The sequence below is a fragment of the Homo sapiens genome, chromosome 7 (genome assembly GCF_000001405.40).
Source record: "Homo sapiens chromosome 7, GRCh38.p14 Primary Assembly".
Classification (NCBI taxonomy): Eukaryota; Metazoa; Chordata; class Mammalia; order Primates; family Hominidae; genus Homo; species Homo sapiens.
Window position 1 is genome coordinate 84,227,332 of NC_000007.14, and position 19,579 is coordinate 84,246,910.

At 35.6% G+C, this 19,579-nt stretch overlaps 1 protein-coding gene across 2 annotated transcripts in view, besides 4 other annotated features; it reads right to left on the minus strand.

Annotated features, from left to right (window-relative positions):
* The window catches only part of SEMA3A (semaphorin 3A), a 536,949-nt gene that overhangs the window by 271,555 nt on the left and 245,815 nt on the right, over positions 1-19,579 (minus strand). The window lies entirely within an intron of this gene.
* Positions 779-1,297: an enhancer, noted in NCBI's record as "OCT4-NANOG hESC enhancer chr7:83857426-83857944 (GRCh37/hg19 assembly coordinates)". NCBI's record gives its function as "activates a minimal SCP1, AML or CMV promoter by ChIP-STARR-seq in naive and primed H9 embryonic stem cells {active_cell/tissue: H9 hESC(naive and primed)}" and the evidence as "EXISTENCE:reporter gene assay evidence [ECO:0000049][PMID:30033119]".
* Positions 779-1,814: a biological region, named in NCBI's record as "OCT4-NANOG hESC enhancers GRCh37_chr7:83857426-83857944 and GRCh37_chr7:83857945-83858461".
* Positions 1,262-1,556: a silencer, noted in NCBI's record as "tiled region #9013; HepG2 Repressive non-DNase unmatched - State 24:Quies". NCBI's record gives its function as "represses a minimal TATA promoter and a strong SV40 promoter by Sharpr-MPRA in HepG2 cells {active_cell/tissue: HepG2}" and the evidence as "EXISTENCE:reporter gene assay evidence [ECO:0000049][PMID:27701403]".
* Positions 1,298-1,814: an enhancer, noted in NCBI's record as "OCT4-NANOG hESC enhancer chr7:83857945-83858461 (GRCh37/hg19 assembly coordinates)". NCBI's record gives its function as "activates a minimal SCP1, AML or CMV promoter by ChIP-STARR-seq in naive and primed H9 embryonic stem cells {active_cell/tissue: H9 hESC(naive and primed)}" and the evidence as "EXISTENCE:reporter gene assay evidence [ECO:0000049][PMID:30033119]".

A 19,579-nucleotide genomic window follows, 5' to 3' on the forward strand; every position in this document is an offset into this window, starting at 1 on the left:
TTGTGATCCTAACTTCAAACCAGCAAGCATTCATTTGCTACCTCATTTCTTGAAACAACAGCAAAACTAAAAATACATTTTTTTTTGCTTTAAATAAGTGTGTCTCGTGTGACAGTTGAAAAAACAAAATGCATTTCAATGAAATAGCTGCCTGGAAAAGTCATTCTATCCATCTTCTCAATTTATTCAATTGAACTCTGGTAAATCAAAGCCACTTTCTTATTATATTATTTGTCTTTAAAAGAGGAGTTCTACAGCCATGAGTGTTTTCCCAATAATTATGAGTAGGCATCCTTACAGGCATTCTACTTCAAGGTATTAGTCCTGATGCCTGGGGTGTGGTGAGATTGGAGGTGTATTATTTCTTTACTATGTAGGACCACCTGTGTGATGTGATTTGAATGGAACTGAAATACCCGGCTTATGCAAAATAACTCCCCCACCAGACTATCACAGAAACTAACCCTTCTTTGCCAGTTTGAAATTCTCATTGCCAAGTAATTTTCTCCTCTTTCCCTAGCTACTGAAAGCTGGTAGATGATGTAAATGATGTAAGTCTCTGTGTGTGTGTGTGTGCGTGCGTGTGTGTGTCAGGGAGTGGGGGGCGGGGGCAGGTAGTAGTTGTATGGGAATGGTAAGAAAAGGAAACAGATAATGAGATTAAAAAAATGATTAAAACATGAAATATGCCTTTAATACTTTCATAAATTCTTCTGTTCTATCAATATGGAGGGCAAGATATGGGTTGGGTTGGCTGGGTGCAGAGATGTGGCAACATAGATGTACTCTAAAAATGGGTGATGAAGCCAGAGTACAATGAGCTAGGATGAGATGGTTGGGCCTGGAATAAATGGAGGACTAAGCAATGGGCAAATTGGGAACTATGAAGTAAAGGAAACATTTCACTAATGAGAAAATAGAAATAATCTTAACCAAGATTGAATCAAAATTAGTGGGACCTTAAGGAGGCTACAAATACCGTACCCCATCACACAAATATTCTGTACTTATTTAGCATTCATTGATTGGGGCTACTAAGAAACTGATTTTCATTTAATAAAATGTTACCTCATTATAAACATTAAAAATAGACTATATATATGCTGAGTATTTTCTATTTGCCCATCCAAAACCTCTCTCTATCTTGTTTATCTTCTGTGTCCACAAAATGATTAACAGCAAAGGTAAAAATTCATGTATATATACTTCAAACTATCATGTTATATATGGTAAATACATAAAAATTTATCTGTCAATTTAAACGAATACATTTAGAAAAGAAAAAAAACATCAATTGAGTCTGATGTTTTCTGGGTTCTATTTGGGGTTTGCCAATGGGGATTAACAGCAGGAGATCAGAGTGAATGAGAAAGGGAATGAAAGCAAGTTAAGTACCATGTTCATTTGCCGGGATTCCTCCCTGCAGGATTTCATGGGCTGACTGCAACCTTCCTGTCTGTTTTTCCAAATTCTGTAAACACTTCTTCCCTTCCACTCCTTTAAGTCCTATGGTTGATCATGGTGCCTTCTATTGAAGACCTGTAATACCTCATTATCCCTTGAAATTTCCCTAAACCCCACCAATATCTTTCTAAATTGTCCCTTTATTAAACTTGCCTCAAATTAACCATTTTTAGTGTGCCAGCTGTTTTCTTCCAGAATTCTGACTTATTTTTCTTACTTTTATACTAATTTGAGATTGTCTTTCATATCTCCTTTTTGGTTTTTTGTCACTTGTAACTACCAGCAGAGGCACTCACACTAAAAGTGGCTGATTAAACATGGATATAGTTTTACAAGGTTGCTTTAAAATTGTGGACTAAATTTGGCAAAAAAAAAAGTTTTTTTGTTATGTTTTTCCCAAGTCTCTTTTTGAGCAGTAGTATTTTCCCTTGATAATAAAACCAAATAATTCAGACATTCATTCACCATGAACAATTAAAAAGCATTTTTAAAAGTTTAATATAACTCAAAATTGCAAATTAAACTCATTAGGCCCCCTCTTAGTAGTAAATTTTATTTCATACATAGAGTGAGTGACACAGCATTTACTAGAATCTCATAGATAAACATACACTTTTTCCTTTGAGTTTCATTATCAATCTATTTAACCTTGGATTATTATTTAACCTTGGATTGCTGATTAAGCACAACATGCCATCTGGCAGAATTTGCTTTTCCAGACAAATTCTTTTAAAAATATTTCTTAGTTTCTGGGGACTACCATAATGAAATCTTATGGCCTCTATAGTTTTTCAGTGTCTTCAAGTCTTATATTTCTATATCAATGTTAGTTCATAATGAAAGGTTTTCTGTAGAGTAGAAACAAAATAATAAAATTTAATTTTGATTTTTATAATGGAACACTATTAATTTCTGGACTCTCTATCCAGAGAACAGTTATATTAATCCCTTTCTCTATTATCTCTGGTATACTTCCCCACTTTCATCTTTCCTTGGTTCTTTTCTTTCGAGTCAACAAGCGTGCCCAATTTCCTGACCTTATGGAAAGAAAAATAAAAACAATTGTAGTAAAGAACAACTTCCTTGTCCTCATATGTCCCCCTTTTGCTTTGTATCAATCTCTACTTCCCTTTACCACCAACCTTCTCAGACGACAAATTAACTGGGACTGGCTCTGATCTTACCCCCCCTTTACTCTACTCAGTTCTCTTCAGTCAACAGAATGCCCTAAGTAAGTCATTAATGATCTTCTAATTATCTAGTTTTCATCTTATTTTAAATCTCTGGCATTTGACATTCTTAACCAATTGAAATTCCTAAAATGCCACCTCCTTCCTTTTTTATGATATGGCCTTTACTCAACTCTTACTTCACAGATCTATAACCCCCATAATGATCTTTGTTAATTGAGTCACTCTCTCTCTTCCTATACTCACTTTTTATCGAGGTTTTATCCCTGCTCTTTTTTCTTTTCAGTCTAACAACTTTTAAAAATTATATTTTACCTCATTATCATGACTTCAACTATGGCGTATATTCTGATATTTTTTAAATCAATGTCTGTTGCCTATAACTCTCTTTCAAACTTCAAAACGGATATTTCTAACTACTTTGGAGTGAGGTCCACATAAACAGCCTCAGTTGAACTCAACTTTAACAGGGACAAGTTCAATTTAATATTATGCTAAAGAAAGCACTCCTCTTTTATTGGTACTTTCTCCTATGCACATAACTTTGAAATCCCAAGTCAGTAATGTCCTTTCAGTTATGTTAGCTCATGCGTCTCCTAGGTTTTATTTTGTTGTTAACCTAATCACCATATCTCATTTGATTCTACTGTCTAACCATGTCTTGTGTCTGGTTCGGCTCTTATGTTTGTTGTCATCGGCTTGGTTTGATGTCTCAACTTCTCTTGATTACAGTTTTGCAATAATGTCCTCAAGCTTGTAATCTTGATTACACAGTTATCTAATTTAAATGAAAATTGTTTATATTACTCTATTACACAATGTTTTTAATGCCTTCTCTTTCTTTGTCATTATTTTTAAAAATGTTTTTTATATTTTCATAATCAAGCTCCTGTTGTTATTTCTAACTTTATCTTCTAGCACTTCCCTGTTAGCAGTCTGTCCCAGTTATTCCAACAGCATTTACAGTTTACCCCCCAATCTTAAGAGTATCACAGTAAGGTCTGTATGCACAATCATTTGGGCTGTAACGCTATACTACTATGTTTCTGATTGGAATATCCTTGTTATACTTCAAAAAATTTCCTCATCTGATGCTTCTTCCCTGGGGTGATTCCTGAATCTCATAAACAGAATTAATCACACCAACTTTGGAGTATCTTCATATATTTGTCTGCACATATCTCACTATACTGAAATGTTTCATTTACACATGGGTTTAAAGTTATCCTGTGGCCTTCTGACTGTAGAGTGTGTGCCTGTTACTTTAATTCCTCAGTTCCTAGCACAGTGACTGGATCATAGTAAGCAGTCAATAAATATGTGTCTGCCCACAGGGAATAAGTGTAGGAGGGAGAAGGAGTACATGACAGTCTCATAGTTGTCTAGCATGTAGGCCAGGAATAAGAATCCATGAGGTTAGATGGAGAGAGATTGTGAGTCACCATCCAGTGGAAGATCAGAAGGAAAAGAAGTTCTTTGAACATAATTTTTCTGGGAGTGGAAAGTATAAACAAGGTGGTAACAGCATTCTACAACTAAAATAAAATGAGACTGTATGTTCCTCATTTAATTTTTAAGGAGAGACCTATTACACTACTTAAAAGCCAGTTAAAATAGAGCACCAGATAACCATGGGAAAGCTGCTGATGTGGTACAGTGACAGAAAGAGTCTTGGGAAGTTTGAGAAAACTTTTGAGGCCAGAAGGGAATGGAAAAACTAATCCTGTAAAATAAATTAGCACCCTGAGGACATCCTTTGGCTGATCTTTACTAAGCAAGAGTGTGTTTTACTAAGCTGAGTGTGAAAAGACAGCAGACAAAGCCAAGGCCAATGTCAGGTTGGGTAGGAAGCCACTTCAAAGCCAGAAAAATAGCTCTTCCACTTTGGGAAACAGAAAAATAACTCCCCCAGAGAGGATACATGGAATGCTTAGCCTTGGTTCTTAAACTTGGTTCTTAGAGTAGAAGGAGAGAGAGACAGACAGAGTTAATAAAAACAAAGGTATGTGTATGTGTGTGTGTGTGTATATGTAAATATATGTTTGTATATGTATGCATGTGTGTGTGTTCATATATATATATACACACACATACATACACACACCCAAGATGTATCAATGTTTAAATAGTAATTCAAAGAAAGCCAGTACAGCCTTATTAATATCTGTCAAAATTCTCTTTAAGTTATAAGGTATCACTTATGAGAAAGAGGTTCACTAAATATGACAAAGCATTTAATTCCACAAATTATATATATATTTATATGTATATTTATTATATTATATTTTATTATATAAATATATATATTTACTTTTCTTGCAACTAAGGTCATATTTTGAAAATATATAAGGAAAAATGTCCAGTTTTCCAAACAGAAATTGACAGGCTCATGACTAGAATAACAGATTTTAATATATGTCTGTGATAGATTGTTTAATCTCTCTCTCTCTCTCTCTCCCTCTCTCTCTGTCACACACACACACACATCAGTAAAGATACAAAAGATTTAAACAACAAAACTAACAAGCTTGTACCCAACAACTGAAGAATATAACTATCCCTTTGTAAATAAGAGCCATACTATCCTTTTGGTTTTAATTATATTTCTTTTCACATATTCTTTTCTTCATTTTAACCACAGCATATAAGAAAACACTGTATTCAATATCACATAACTTGTCTGAGACAAGTTTAAGACGTTTTCCTTCTAATTTTCTTACAAAACTAACTTGGTGTTTCTATTTTCATTCATTTTCTTGAAATGCCTCCAAGTTCTCTTCAAATCCAAAAGAATGCTTTACACAAACACAGATTGCTATTTCACAAACATTTTGTCATCTTTGCTCTTCTAGGTGCTTTCCCTTCTCAGCATCACCTCAAAGATTCTTCCCATGAGTCTGAGCCAAGTGTCAGCTCTTCCCCTAGTGGATAGCTTACATAGTGTTTGATGTCAACAAGTCCCTTCTTAGGATGTATTGAGCAGTGAAGGATTAATTTAATAAAGAACATTGCTTTACCCCTAGGAGAATGACAAGTCTTTAAGGTGGAATTGGTCTTTGGAGTTATTCTACTTTTTAAGGTATTTCAACTATTTGTAGACTTTCCATTACCCATTGCCTGACTAATGAATTAACTTGTAACTTCTCAATCATGCAATATTTTCTTCATTTTAATTTATTTTTGCCCCTTTTATGTAGTTAATACATTCATTGGTTAAGACCAAAGCTTTTCTTGCATATATGTATTGTCTTGGGTAAAATTTATGTTCTGTTGAATGCTCTAGCAGAGCAGAAACACTGATAAACATTTTAAACCCCCAATTCCCCTCTTTAATAGTTGCGTGATTTGGCTACTTATATAACCTCACTGTTCTTTGTTTTCTTTTATACTCCCCTTAAAAAGAAGCAAGGTAAATAGCATTTACTTAATAAAGTTGTTGTGAGGATTAAATGAATGTAGACTATCTGCTACAGGATATTCTGTGTAGTATAATAAAATTTCACAGGAAAATTCACAACTATGCAATTTTTACACATAATGAGAAATGAAAATTGTTTATTGTCAATGAATATAATTTACATTAATAAAGGAATTTTAATTTAAAGATAATAGAAAAGTGAGTCAACATTTTTAAAAAGCCTTGAGAAAGATTTCAACCATGTAATGATATATTCAATAATACCATAGTGCTGTCCCATTCCCTGAACACTTATTGTTAACTGAGTAGATTCTTCCTACTGTTTTCAATTCAGTTTGACTAAATCAAAAGAAAAAATACTTTGAAAGCAACACCTTTACTGTATTTACTGAGAGGCCAAACTATGTCTGGCAAATTTTGCCATGCAAAGATGTAGCAGTGCTTTTGGTGAAGCGTAGAGCCCTGGTAGAAATGCAACATTAACTGGCTCTTCAAATGCCTGAGATAAATGGAATTAATAATAAATGTACAATATTTTGACTACCATGTGAATCTAACCGATGCTCTATACTAAAAAAAAAAGCCTCATTTTTATAAAGTATTTTAGAACCACAATTAGTCCTATTTGTTCATTTGTTTATTATAATGAAAACCATAATACAATAAAAGATGTCAATAGGAACCTGCATAAAAAGTAAATACATTGTTTTACAGGGGATGGGGGGTGTTAGTGATGGCCATTATATCATTTGTTCTCATTCTCTACTTCTAAACTGGAATTGCTTCTAGCTAAATTCTGGATCTTTTAAATACTTTAAAAATCCTACAACCTAATCTTTTCCTAGAATAAAGTCCCCACTTTCTCACCTGAACCAAAACCTGACCTTACTCTGGTGGTGCTATTTACCCTAAAACCCTTCCACACTCATGCTCATGAAGAGGCTAGTGTTCTCTTAATCCTCACTGCCACATTGAGACCATTGCCCTGGCATCATTTATCAGTAACTTTTCTACTTTTGACACACACGATATTCAGTTATGCTGCCTTCTTTACATTGATTTGTCTTTATCTCTCTACTACATGGGGTTCTCTTTTGCTCATTGATCTAAATCTGCTGTGATCACAATATTCTTTGATTACCCTTCCTGCTCTGGTTCTTAACATTCAAACTGAGGAGTCTTTGAACCATACCCTTGTTGCGCTTGGGCGTCTTCAACTCCAAAGACCTCGATTTTTATTTTACCCATATGTTTCTCTTGACTTTTTCTATTCTTATAAGTTTTATCCCCTCCATTCCAGCCCCAACACTCACTGCAGGCTTATTCCTTTTACATTTAATAGCAGGCAGTTTCATTATTTATTTTATATATCTGTAGATTTACTAATTACTCATTCTGACCTTCTGCCTGCCGTGTGTGTGCCATTTCAATTTTCAAATCTAGGGTAATCTTTTGTAGTTTCATTACTGAGTACTGAGCATTGTTGGAGAAGGTCAAATTACAAAGGTAATTCTATTACAGATGAATTCTAACTAATATCAGTTAATATCCCCATGCTGTTTTCCTGCGTTTTTACTCTGCATGTGGCATAAGGGGAAACTTTTACATCAACTTGTCTAGAGCGCAACTTCATGGAAACATTCTGAAGGGGCATTAGGTAATATATACGAAAATGATTTAAAAATAAATTCTTTAAAACAGGAAGGCCATTATTAGCAAATTATCCAAAGACAAATATCAGATATGTGTACAAATATGTATTTTTTCAATTGTTCATAATGGACTTGTTAAATAAACTATGTAAGTATAGTAGACTAGTATGCATTCATTAATTGCACATTATATTAATAATGACAAGATATTTTTCTGTATTACTGAGTGAAATGAAAGATAAACTGGTATGATGCATATGATTATATACATGACTTTATATTTAATATATGCAATCATTTATAAGTGTCTTGTATGTGAATAATTGTATGTATTTTGTAGTTTGGAAAAATGTTAGCTGGATTATCAATAATTATTGATTTCTGGTATTGAAATTTTGATTACTTTTGATATTATTGTTTCTTCTTTATTTCTTTATTTTCTTCTCCATATTTTCAATATTACTTGAAATATCTGCATGAATAAATATTATTGGAATAAGAAAAATGATACAGTAAACGCTATTAATTTTTTTAAAAAGTAGTTTGGGTATAATTGTTTTAATTCTTAATTCCTCTTCTCCATTTTGTGTCCCAACAAACTAGAATCTACTTTCCTCACTCCAACTATTCTACTAAAGTGGTTCTCATAAAGACCAATTATCAATGAGCTTATTATCCAACCCAAGTACCCTCTACTCTTGGGCAACAAAGAGAACTCTAACATGGTCGAGTATACTGTCTTCATGAAAACATAGCTACTTTAGACCATACTTTATGCCATTGCATCTCAAGCTCTTTCACCAGTTTATTTTCCTTCACTTGGCCCCTAAGAACAGATGTTTCCTAAGGCCCCATGTTTAGGGTGTATTCCTTTTCACCCTACACACTTTTAACTAATCTATTTTCCTCCCACAACTTCAAGTATCAACCTCACTGGATGATTCTCAAATCATTATCAAAACATCAAAGGCACATGCCTAATTGGCTACTGTTTACTGCACAAAACCAGCCTGATGTCACCTCAAATTGCACAGGTGCAAATTAGAATTCATTTGTTTCTCTTCCAAACTTTCCCCTATGCCTTCAATTTTAAGTGCACCACTGGCCACTCTCCTTTGCTTGGGTTAAAAATTTTAGTTTTCTTGAACTTCCTCTTCCTCCTGTCTTTTAGCTAGTCACCACATCTGTATTGATTATGTGTCTATCACACATTTGTCAGTGGGCGAATGAAGTAAAGTTTCAGATGAGGTGTTATTTCCTTTATGTTCCCAGTTATACTAGACTAATTTGGACATTAATCACTTCTATCCTAGATATCCAATATAACCTCCTAACAGAAGTTTCTAACTCTCCCTTCAGTTACACAGTCATCAGTATTAATTCGCTAAAATTCTGAATATGATTGCCTCTCTTTGCAAGAGAAAATGAACATTACTAAAATATTAGTTTGGCATTTCAGGCCCTTCCTCCAAGATGTTATTGCAATCTTCCTGTTTAACTTCCTTTTCCATGCATAGTTTATCTTTATCTCGCAAATACTCTATTAGTCACTAATGACTAATCCCATTCTCCTAAGAGCAAGACTTTTCCATCTATGATATTAATTTGATATAGAAAAAGAGTTTGAAATTCACTTGGAATACAGGTAATTATTGATTTTGCCCTACTCTCTTGATCGTTTTGCCTCAGTCTATCAAAACCAATTCAAGTGTGTTATCTTCCAATACCTTGAACAAATCTCTCTTCCCCTGTCATTTATGGAGTGTACATCTGAGGTAGAAAATATTTCAGTTAATTCTATATGTGAGTCACCTTCATGATTGTGAATACCCTCAAAGCAGAGGTCTTAAAAAGGATAGATTGTGTTAATTACCTGGAAAAAAAATGGCAGTAAGTGATATACTTAAAGCAATATCATATATATTCTATTTAAAATAAATTTAACTGTGTTGGAAAGGAAGGGAAGGAAGTTAAACTTACATTCTAAAATTTAAAACGACCAAATAAATAAATCGGGAAAAGCAATGCCCAACATTAATAGTGAAAACATATTTTTAAAATAATTAACACCTGAATCATAATTAGCAACTAAGTGTAGGAAGAAACTGATGATGCTGAAAACAAAATGTGTTTAATTTATCCCAGAGTTAAGGAAAAGACAAACATATGTAGGTAAGTGAATTTCTGAGCACCAATTTCTTAGCAACCACAGTCTAACTTATCAAATTTAAGATTAAGATTTGAGATAGTTTATATCAACAGGTAAATTTCATTATTAAGCAATTAGCCACTCATTGTCTTACTCAAACTTACTACTCACTGAGTTAATACAACATACAAGACATAGTATTAGGGAAAATGTCTTTAAGAAGTTCATAATCAATAAAAGAGAAGAAGAACGAAGAGAAGAAGGGAGAGGAGGAAGGAGATGAGAGGTATGGGAGGGACAGACAAAAGTAATATTAAATGCTTACAACATACCACCCATTTTTCTAAGTGGTTTACATTATCATCTCTTATACTGTGACAAGATAGATACTATTATTGTCTTTATTATATAGATAAGGGAACTGACGCATGATGTGACCAAATAACTTCTTAACATGAATCACCCAGCAAAGGGTGATTCATGAAATCACTGAGTTTCATGAGTGATTCATGAAATCTGAGCTGAGTTTCAATCACAGAACATACATCCTGCTCTGTAGTTTATGCCTTTAGTCACTATGGTTTACTATAGTTAACATACTGTGCTGAGACCCAGATGCAACCAATTAATAGAAACATACTTCAGGAATGCCTTTAAAAAATTCTGTGAGAATGCAGATTAGTGTGGGAATTCCTGTTGACTGAAGTCCTAACAGAAAACTTAACCATAAAAAGAAGACAGTACTATCATAGGCCACCATCTCTATGGAGGAATAGCAAGGCTGTATTGGAAGTACTAAGGAAGCCAGATTTGGTGGAGTATGGGTGTTTTGGGGAACAATAGATGAGAGTGCCCCAGAGGATATTCAATTTTTTTTTTTCTTTAGATGGAGTCTCACTCTGTCACCCAGACTGGAGTGCAGTGTGATCTTGGCTCACAGCAACCTCTGCCTCCCAGGTTCAAGGGATCCTCCTGCCTGAGCCTCCCAAGTATCTGGGATTACAGGTGCCCACCACCACACCAGGCTAATTTTTGTATTTTTAGTAGAGACAAGATTTCACCAAGTTGGCCAGGCTGGCCTTGAACTCCTGACCTCAGGTGATCCGCCTGCCTCAGCCTCCCAAAGTGCTGGGATTACAGGTGTGAGCCATCGTGCCTGGTGGAATAACCAATTTTCAACTGAACTTGAGTACAGGACAGTGAATAATCTACAGTAGGCACAGTGGAAGTCTACACCACTTAATTTTTATTCATGTATTTAAATCGGCTTCCTCCAAACTTGTGGTTTAAAGAATGGAGTGAGGAGAAATAATAGCTTATGAATAAATTACTGATAATCACTCATACATAATATTAACTTAATTTTTACAAGTAAATATAGAGATGGAAAACCTTTCTGCAATAGTTCTGTTTTCTGAAACAATTTTAAATAATTCATTCCATATACAAAACTGTTTGCAAAAGTGCACATGTAGGCATCTCTCTCTTTTAACTATATCATGAAAACTACAATAATTTTTTTTTTTTTGATACGGAGTCACGCTCTGTTGCTCAGGCTGGAGTACGGTGGCATGATCTCAGCTCACCACAACCTCCACTTCCCTAGTTCAAGCAATTCCCCTGACTCAGCCTCCCGAGTAGCTGGGACTACAGGAGCATGCCATCACACCTGGCTAATTTTTTTGCAGTTTTAGTAGAGGCAGGGTTTTACCATGTTAGCCAGACTGGTCTCCAACTCCTGACCTCAGGCAATCCGCCTGCCTCGGCCTCTCAAAGTACTGGGATGACAGGCGTGAGCCACCATGCCCGGCCAAAAACTACAATGATTTAAAGCCATGTAGCAAACCTAAAAACTTAAAGAATGTAGACCAAAAATAATTATATCATAATGCTAATATTAAAATAAGTTTTTAAAAATAAAAATAATACATTAACATATTTCAGAATAGTCTGCAAGATTTCATGATTGTGCAACTGTGAATATTTGCTTTAGGTAAAACCAAGCATTTAAAAAATTAATAGTTTTTTAATTATCTACTTATTCAAAAGTTTAATTCTCATAAGGAAATTATTTTTTGATTTGTAAAACATTAGGTGTTTTATCTAAAACAATCAAGCAAAGGCTTTTGTTGAAAATAAATTTAATATTTTGCCCATGGGCAATTGTACTCACTAAATACTCTGTAAGTAATCCACTTTTTGTGGCCAAGTGGCATACTCATTTTACACCCAAATATGAAAGAGAAATGGAAGACATGGGTAATAAATAATATTTTAGAAATACTGGAACTGTTACTTGAGGGAATAATTACAGAACAATTTTTGAGAGTCTTGTATAATGAATTCATTTTTAAAGCATCTGGTTATCTTTCTGACTAAAAATGCAGTGCCAATTATATTTTATAGTTAGCAATTTCTTTTTATAGTTTAGAAATTGGATCGTAAAAAAACAACTGTAATTTTTCTAACATATTTTTAAGAATAAAATGATCTGATACACTAAATTAGAGGACTTAGGACTTAAAGCTAAACCACATACTAATTTTTACCATCTTTGGAGGCCATCTTAATGAAACTGATTTTGTGAATGTTATAGATGCATACACATTTATTACTGTCACTGTGAGTCTAGTCAAAGAATATTCTGATTTGAAATAAAGAGGTCATAAAAAATTTACCTGTCCCAAATAAATATTAAGTTGTGATGCAGTATGGTAGATTAATATTTTCTATTATTTCATTGGTCAGACTAATGTTAGAAGAATGTTTTAATTAAAAGCAATATATATAACTATAATGCCACAGTATCCTATAAATTTTTAAGTGTTTCAAATTACCAATTTATACCCAAGTGGTAGGTTGGTCTGTAGGATCCCAAAAGAAACAATACTGCTTGTAAATATTTTAAAACTAACAAACACCAAAACTAGTCTATAGTATATTCAAATGGAGAGTAAAGATGGGAGAGAGATTTATAAGAAGTCTTAAAAATACATAAGCAAATATTTAACTTGTTATGCATAATTTTTAAAAAAAGATTTTAGTAGGTTGAATAATGGCCACTCAAAGATCTTTAATGCCTGGAAACTGTGAATGTTACTTTGAGTGGCGAAGTTTTGCAGATATGATTAAGTTAACGATCTTGAGATAAAGAAATTTCTTGTTATCCCTGTTTGGTCCCTAAATGTCATCACAAATGTCCTTATAAGAGAGAGGGCGGGGGGATTGGGCATATACCCAGAAGGCCAAGGCCATGGAAGATGGAAGTAGAAAGAAAGATTTGAAGATGTTACATTGCTGACTTGAGGAAAGGGCCACGAGAGAGGGAAGATAAATTCAGAAATTGGAAGAGGCAAGGAAGAGATTATCCCTTAGAGCCTCGCAAAGAAGCATGGGACAGCTAACACATTGATTGGATCCAGTGGTACTAATGCTGAACATGTGCAGAGTGGGCAGGTTTGTTCCATAGGTATACATGTGCCATGGTGGTTTGCTGCACTCATCAACCCATCATGTACATTAGGTGTTTCTCCTAATGCTAGCCCCCTCTAGCCCACCACCGCCTGACAGGCCCCTGTGTGTGATGTCCCCCTCCCTGGGTCCATGTGTTCTCATTGTTCATCTCCCACTTAAGAGTGAGAACATGCTGTGTTTGGTTTTCTGTTCCTGTGTTAGTTTGCTGAGAATGATGGTTTCCAGCTTCATCCACGTCCCTTCAAAGAACATGAATTCATCCTTTTTTATGGCTGCATAATATTCCATGGTGTATGTGTGCCACATTTTCTTTATCCAGTCTATCGTTGAAGGGTGCTTGGGTTGGTTCCAAGTCTTTGCTATTGTGAACAGTGCTGCAATAAACATACATGTGCTGGTGCCTTTATAGTAGAATGATTTATAATCCTTTGGGTATATACCCAGTAATGGGGTTGCTGGGTCAAATGGTATTTCTGGTTCTACATCCTTGAGGAATCACCATACTGTCTTCCAAAATGGTTGAACTAATTTACACTCCCACCAACAGTGTAAAAGCATTCCTATTTCTCTACATCTTCTCCAGCATCTGTTGTTTCCTGACTTTTTAATAATCACCATTCTAACGGCATGAGATAGTATCTCATTACGGTTTTGATTTGCATTTCTCTAATGACCAGTGATGATGAGCTTTTTTTCATATGTTTATTGACCGCATAAATGTCTTCTTTTGAGAAGTGTCTGCTCATATCCTTGGCTCACTTTTTGATGGAGTTGTTTATTTGTTTCTTGTAAATTTGTTTAAGTTCCTTGTAGATTCTGGATATTAAGGCTTTGTCAGATGGATAGATCGCAAAAATTTTCTCCCATTCTGTAGGTTGCCTGCTCACTCTGATGATAGTTTTTTTGTTTGTGTTTTGTTTGTTTGTTTGCTGTGCAGAAGCTCTTTAGTTTAATTAGATCCCATTTGTCCATTTTGGCTATTGTTGCCATTGCTTTTAGTATTTTAGTCATGAAGTCTTTGCCCATGCCAATGCCCTGAATGGTATTGCCTAGGTTTTCTTCTAGGGTTTTTATGGTTTCAGGTCTTACGTTTTAGTCTTTAATCCATCTTGAGTTAATTTTTGTATAAGGTGTAAGGTAGGGGTTCATTTTCAGTTTTCTGCATAGGGCTAGCCAGTTTTCCCAAAAGCATTTATTAAATAGAGAGTCTTTTCTCCATTACTTGTTTTTGTCAGGTTTGTCAAAGATCAGACAGTTGTAGATCTGTGGCATTATTTCTGAGGCCTCTGTCCTGTTCCATTGGTCTATATATCTGTTTTGGTACCAACACCATGCTGTTTTGGTCACTGTGGCCTTGTAGTATAGTTTCAAGTCAGGTAGCATGATGCCACCAGCTTTGTTCTTTTTGCTTAGGATTGTCTTGGCTATACAGGCTCTTTTTTGGTTTCAGATGAAACTTAAAGTAGTTTTTTTCTAATTCTGTTAAGAAAGTCAATGGTAGTTTGATGGGGATAGTATTGAATCTATAAATTCGTTTGGGCAGTATGGCCATTTTCACGATACTGATTCTTTCTGTCTATGAGCATGGAATGTTTTTCCATTTGTTTGTGTCCTCTCTTATTTCCTTGAGCAGAGGTTTGTAATTCTCCTTGAAAAGGTCCTTCACATCCCTTGTGAATTATATTCCTAGGTATTTAATTATCTTTGTAGCAATTGTGAATGGGAGTTCACTCATGATTTGACTCTTCGTCTATTATTGGTATAGGAATGCTTGTGATTTTTGCACACTGATTTTGTATCCTGAGACTTTGCTGAAGTTGCTTATCTGCTTAAGGTGATTTTAGACTGAGACAATGGGGTTTTCTAAATATACAATTATGTCATCTGCAAACAGAGACAATTTGACTTCCTCTCTTCCTACTTGAATACCCCTTGAATACCCTATGTTTCCTTCGCTTGCCTGATTGCCCTGGCCAGAACTTCCAGTACTATGTTGAATAGGAGTGGTAAGAGAGGGCATCCTTGTCTTGAGCCAATATTCAAAGGGAATGCTTCCAGCTTTTGCCCATTCAGAATGATATGGGCTGTGGGTTTGTCATAAATAGCTCTCATTATTTTGAGATATGTTCTATCAATACCTAGTTTATTGAGAGTTTTTAGCCTGAAGGGGTGTTGAATTTTATTCAAGGCCTTTTCTGCATCTATTGAGATAATTGTGTGGTTTTTGTCATTGGTTCTCTTTATGTGATGGATTATGTTTATTGATTGGATTATGTTTATTGATTTGTGTATGTTGAACCAGGCTTGCATCCCAGGGATGAAGCCGACTTGATGTGGTGAATAAGCTTTTTGATGTGCTACTGGATTCGGTTAGTATTTTATTGAAGATTTTCATATCGATGTTCATCAGGGATATTGGCCTGAAATTTTCTTTTTTTGTTGTGTCTCTGCCAGGTTTTGGTATCAGGATGATGCTGGCCTCATAAACTGAGTTAAGGAGGAGTTCCTCTTTTTCTATTGCTTGGAGTAGTTTCACAATGAATGGTACCAGCTGCTCTTTGTAACTCTGGTAGAATTCGGCTGTGAATCTGTCTGGTCCCGGGAATTTTTGTTGGTAGGCTATTAATTACTGCCTGAGTTTCAGAACTTGTTATTGGTCCATTCAGGGATTCGACTTCTTCCTGGTTTAGTCTTGGGTGGGTGTATTTGTCCAGGAATTTATCCATTTCTTCTAGACTTTCTAGTTTATTTGCGTAGAGGTGTTTACAGTATTCTCTGATGATAGTTTGTATTTCTGTGGGATCAGTGGTGATCTCCCCTTTATCATTTTTTATTGTGTCTATTTGATTCTTCTCTCTCTTCTTCTTTATTAGTTTGCCTAGTGGTCTGTCTATTTTGTTAATCTTTGCAAAAAACCAGCTTCTGGATTCATTGATTTTTTTTGTGAAGGGGTTTTCATGTCTCTATCTCCTTCAGTTCTGCTCTGATTGTAGTTATTTCTTGTCTTCTGCTAGCTTTTGAATTTGTGTTCTTGCTTCCATTCTCCTGTGGGCATTTAGTGCTATAAATTTCCCTCTAAACACTGCTTTAGCTGTGTCCCAGATATTCTGGCACCTTGTGTCTTTGTTGTCATTGGTTTCAAAGAACTTATTTATTTCTGCCTTAATTTCTTTATTTACCCAGTAGCCATTCAGGAGCAGGTTGTTCAGTTTCCATGTAGTTGTGTGGTTTTGAGTGAGTTTCTTAATCCTGAGTTCTAATTTGTTTACACTGCGGTCTGAGAGACTGTTATGATTTCTGTTCTTTTGCATTTGCTGAGGAGTGTTTTACTTCCAATAATGTAGTCAATTTTAGAATAAATGTGATGTGGTGCTGAGAAGAATGTATATTCTGTTGATTTGGGGTGGAGAGTCCTGTAGCTGTCTATAGGTCCCCTTGGTCCAGAGCTGAGTTCAAGTCCTGAATATCCTTGTTAATTTTCTGTCTCATTGATCTAATATTGACAGTAGGGTGTTAAAGTCTCCCACTATTATTGTGTAGGAGTCTAAGTCTCTTTGTAGGTCTCTAAGAACTTGCTTTATGAGTCTGGGTGCTCCTGTATTGGGTGCATATATATTTAGGATAGTTAGCTCTTCTTGTTGCATGATCCCTTTACCACTATATAATGCCCGTCTTTGTCTTTTTTGTTCTTTGTTCGTTTAAAGTCTGTTTTATCAGAGACTAAGATTGCAACCCCTGCTGTTTTTGCTTTCCATTTGCTTGGTAAATATTCCTCCATCCCTTTATTTTGAGTCTATGTGTGTCTGTGCACATGAGATGGGTGTCTTAAATAGAGCACACGGATGGGACTTAACTCCTTATACAATTTCCAGTCTGTGTCTTTTAATTGGGGCATTTAGCACGTTTACATTTAAAGTTAATATTGTTACGTGTGAATTTAATCCTGTCATCATTATGCTAGGTGGTTATTTTGCCCATTAGTTGATGCAGTTCCTTCATAGCCTTGATAGTCTTTACAATTTTGTGTTTTTTTAGTGGCTGTTACCAGTTTTTCCTTTCCATATTTAGTGCTTCCTTCAGGAGCTCTTGTAAGACAGGCCTGATGGTGATTTTCTTCTTTCAGCATTTGCTAGTCTGTAAAGGATTGTATTTCTCCTTTGTTTATGAAGCTTAGTTTGGTTGGATATGAAATTCTGGGTTGAAAATTCTTTGCTTCAAGAATGTTGAATATTGGCCCTCACTTTCTTCTGGATCCTAGGGTTTCTGCAGAGAGATCCACTGTTAGTCTGATGGGCTTCCCTTCGTGGGTAACCCGACCTTTCTCTCTGGCTTCCCTTACCATTTTTTTCCTTCATTTCATCCTTGGTGAATCTGACGATTATGTGTCTTGAGATTGCTCTTCTCGAGGAATATCTTTGTGGTGCTCGCTGTATTTCTTGAATTTGAATGTTGGCCTGTATTGCTAGGATGGGGAAGTTCTCCTGGATAAATATCCTGAAGAGTGTTTTCCAACTTGGTTCCATTCTCCCCATCAGTTTCAGGTACACCAATCAAATACAGCTTTGATCTTTTCACATAATCCCATATTTCTTGGAGGCTTTGTTCGTTCCTTTTCATTCTTTTTTCTCTAATCTTGTCTTCACACTTTATTTCATTAAGTTGATCTTCAATCTCTGATATCCTTTCTTCTACTTGATCAATTTGGCTATTGATACTTGTGTATGCTTCATGAAGTTATCGTGCTGTGTTTTTCGGCTCCATCAGGTCATTTATGTTCTTCTCTAAACTGGTTATTCTAGTTAGCAATTCCTCTAACCTTTTTTCAAGTTTCTTAGCTTCCTTGCATTGGGTTAGAACATGCTTCTTTAGCTCAGAGGAGTTCATTATTACCCACCTTCTGCTTGTTAGTTTTTCTTCTAATAGTCAGGCCCCTCTGCTGCAGGTCTGCTAGAATTTGCTGGAGGTCCACTCCAGACCCTGTTTGCCTGGGTAGCACCAGTGGAGGCTGCAGAACAGCAAAGATTGCTGCTTGTTCCTTCCCCTGGAAACTTTGTCCCAGAGGGACACCCACAAGATGCCAGCTGGAGTTCTACCATATGAGGTGTCTGTTGACCCCTGCTGGGAGGTATCTCTCAGTCAGGAGGCATGGGGGTCAGGGACCGACTTGAGGAGGTGGTCCATCCCTTAGCAGAGCTCAAGCACTGTGCTGGGAGATCTGCTGCTTTCTTCAGAGCAGGCAGGCAGGAATGTTTAAGTCAGCTACAGCTGTGCCCATAGCCGCCCCTTTCCCCAGGTGCTCTGTCCCAGGGAGATGGGAGTTTTATCTGTAAACCCCTGACTGGGGCTGCTGCCTTTCTTTCAGAAATGCCCTGCCCGGGGTGGGAGGAATCCAGAGAGGCAGTCTGGCTACAGCAGGATTTGCAGCATTGCAGTGGGCTCCGCCCAGTCTGAACTTCCTGGTGGCTTTGTTTACACTCAGTTGGAAATGCAGAAATCACCCGCCTTCTGTGTTGGTCTTGCTGGGAGCTGCTGATGGGAACTGTTCCTATTAGGCTATCCTGCCCAGGAATACAATTTCGTTGTTTTAAGTCATTAAGTTTGTAGTAATTTGTTACAGCTGCGCCAGAAAATTAAAACAAGGACTTTCCAAGCATAAAACCAATGGAAAAGTGGTTTAAAAATGCACTTGACAACATAAAATCTTAAACTTACGTATGTCAAAAATAAAATGAAATATAAACTGTTCATATGGTTTTGCTAAAGACATTAAAAAGGATTAATAATTTCAATATATAAAAAATGACTAACACCCCCAAATTAAAATAAGACAGAGGTTATATATAGTTACACAATCTCTGAAATAAGAAATTCAACAGATAAAATATACATGTATATTATATATCCAAAATGAAAAGTAATCATATAAATGCAAATGAACTAATAATTGCTACTAATTTGTCAAAATTCTCAAACTCTCTTTTTTTTTCAGTATAGATGGGAGTATAAAATTTGAATACTAGCATCCTCTTCTCATGGGAGGACAAACTATATCATCCTAGAAAATAGCTTGATATGTATACATGTACAAGGAACTATAAGTGTGTGTTTTTGGCTCTGTAATTTAACTTTTAAAAATTAGTCTTAAGGGAGTCATCAGAATGATTTATACAAGGTTATTTTTCACAGAGCTATTTATAGTAGAAAATGATTGAAATAAAAGCAAGAGCTTAAC